At 44.1% G+C, this 2,903-nt stretch overlaps 1 annotated feature.

Annotated features, from left to right (window-relative positions):
• Nucleotides 459–753: an enhancer, noted in NCBI's record as "tiled region #9340; K562 Activating non-DNase unmatched - State 24:Quies". NCBI's record gives its function as "activates a minimal TATA promoter and a strong SV40 promoter by Sharpr-MPRA in K562 cells {active_cell/tissue: K562}" and the evidence as "EXISTENCE:reporter gene assay evidence [ECO:0000049][PMID:27701403]".

Genomic DNA, 2,903 nt, shown 5'->3' on the forward strand with positions numbered 1-2,903 from the left:
TTCCTTCCTAATAAAACTTTCTATTTTCAAACCTATACAGTTATCGGTAATTTTTTTTCTTTTCTTTTTTTTTTTGAGGTGAAGTCTCACTGTGTCACCCAGGTTGGATTGCAGTGGCGTGATCTCCGCTCACTGCAACATCTGCCTCCTGGGTTCAAGTGATTCTCCTTGAGCCCGCCACCATGCCCGGCTAATTTTTGTATTTTTGGTAGAGATCGGGTCTCACCATGTTTGCCAGGTTGGTTTGGAACTCCTGACCTCAAGTGATCCACCTGTCTCGGCCTCCCAAAGTGCTGTGATTAGAGGAGTGAGCCACTGCACCCGGCTGTTGGTAAATTTTTGCAAACCCGACAGTTGACCACTTTCTGATGCTGGGGCTGGCATCTTGGTGGCCCATATGGGGACTTTACTGGCATTTCTGCCTTCTTTTTTCCTTCCAGCTCCCCTCAGTGGTCTAATTCTTTACTCTTGGGAACTGAAGGTTTCTGGCCTAGGCCACTCTTCAGTGGGATCTTGAGGCCCCAGAGAAGGGATTCCTGTCTGTTGTTGTCCTTAGGGGTAAGAGACTGGCCAGACTGCATTCTCTTTTTGGACTGCCAGTGAAGCAGCTGGAGTACTCTTTGGCAATTGAGGGTTTCTGGCCTAGGGCACTTCCTGGTGTTACCTGAAGGTGAAGACAGAAGAACAAATTCGCTATTGCCTGTCAGGATGGCAAGTTCCCTTTCTCTCATTATCCTTTAAACCATGCCTTGGAAACAAGCAGCAGCCATATGAACTCTGCACAGACATACTCTACTGATCACTGATTGCAGACCCATTGTTTTTTTAATTCAACAAATATTTATGAAGCATCTTTTATATGCTTCCACTTTTCTAGGTGCTTGGGATTCAGCAGTTAATTTTTTTTAAACAAACTTTTTATTTCCATAGGTTATTAGGGAATAGGTAGTGTTTGGTTACATAAATAAGTTCTTTATTGGTGATTTGTGAGATTTTGGGGCACCCATCACCTGAGCAGTATATACACTGCACCCTAAGTGGACCCAATTTTGGATTCCGCTTCATCACAGCTCATCACAACATCCCATATAAAGGGTGAGTTCTCCTTCATGTTAGGTCTGACCACTGAAACAAGGGCATGTCTGGACTGGTCATCCAGGCAACGGCAGATGCATTATCCCTGGTGGGATGCCTCTGAATGAAGTGAGACAAAGAGAAAAGGAAGGTCTAAATCCCTCAGGAATGCCTCAGGGCTCTTATAGCCCTTTAACAAAACCCAGCATGGGTTCAATTCCTGTTTCAATTCCATCTGACTCACCCTTAAGTTGCGTTCTTAAATAGTGATCCCATTTTGACCCACAATCTCTCAAAAAGAAGCATATGATTTTCTTTTGTAATACAGCTTGGGTTCTGTATAAGCTCCCAATAATTTAAATTGGCCTCTTAATGGGACGCTGGATTGGAATATTATTTTACAACTAGACTCATTTTGCTGGAACCTTGGAAAGGATTCAGAGGTCCCATATGTTTGCGTCTTTTTGGCTTTATCCCAAACCCCAAAATTACATAAAAATTGTCGTGTATGCTTCCAACAAACTTCCTCTCTCCCTGATTCTGATGACTTAGATGATCCTTTCTTTTGCCTACCATACTCTCCTCAGCCCGCTCCCACATCACCTAAACTCTCTCCATTTGCCCCATTCCCTAATGAACCACCCTCATATCCAGACACTTTATCCCCCTCACATACTCGGACCGGAGTCACATATGCCACTAGTATAGAACCCTCAGGAAAATCTCAAAAATGTTTTGCCTCTCTGCAAGGTGGCAAATGGAAATTCGGGAACAATTAAAGTTCATGTCCCTTTTTTAATGTCTGATCTTTCACAAATTCAATCCAAATTGGGTTCATTTAGCTAGGATCCCTCTAAGTTCACTCAAGAATTTCATGCTTTAACTATTGCTTTTGATTTAACCTGGCAAGATATATTTGTGATATTAACTACTTGTTCCTATGAAGAAAAACTATGCTTTTTTTTTTTTTTTAACCGAGTTTCTCTCTTGTTGCCCAGGCTGGAGTGCAGTGGCATGATCTCGGCTCACTGCAACTCCACTTCCTGGGTTCAAGTGATTCCTCCTGCCTCAGCCTCCCGAGTAGGAATGCACCACCATGCCCGGCTAATTTTGTATTTTTAGTAGAGATGGGGTTTCTCCATGTTGGCCAGTCTTGAACTCCTGACCTCAAGTGATCTGCTCACCTTGGCCTCCCAAAGTGCTGGGATTACAGGCGTGAGCCACCACGCCTGGCCAACTATGCAGATTGTTACCAGTGGAAGGTATCAGAGTTACTGGTGGTGAATCCACATGGGTCTGCAGCAACCTCAATTCTTGCCTCCTCAGAAGAAAGAATTCACCTGAGGGTCATAAGACAGAAAAAGAGACTGAGGCAAGTTTCAAAGCAGGAGTGGAAGTTTTTTTTAAAAAGGCTTTATTTTTAGAACAGGAAAGAAAGGAAAGTATGCTTGGAAGAGACCCAAGCACCCTGTTTACCACTGATTCTAGGACTCTATACTATAAGTTGGCCCCTTTCCCATGATTCTTCCCTTAGGGTGGGCTGCCCACACACACAGTACCCCCCGTTACTCTTGGGAAGTGAGCACGCACAGTGTATTTAGGAAGTTGTATGCATGCCTAATGAGGCTTTCTTCCCTTGTCCAGTGGAGTGTCCTCAGAAGGTCATACTCTGCCATTTTGTCTCTTAATGCATATGCCTGGGAAGTTGCTTCTATCTGGTAACCTGCATTCAGTTAACACTTTGGTGCAATAGGTGTGGACCATCAGGAAATGGCCTCTCCCTGGCACTGGCTGCCAATTTATCACTTGCATGGAGAGGCAATGTGATA

This window comes from Homo sapiens, chromosome 1 (assembly GCF_000001405.40).
Source record: "Homo sapiens chromosome 1, GRCh38.p14 Primary Assembly".
Taxonomy (NCBI): Eukaryota; Metazoa; Chordata; class Mammalia; order Primates; family Hominidae; genus Homo; species Homo sapiens.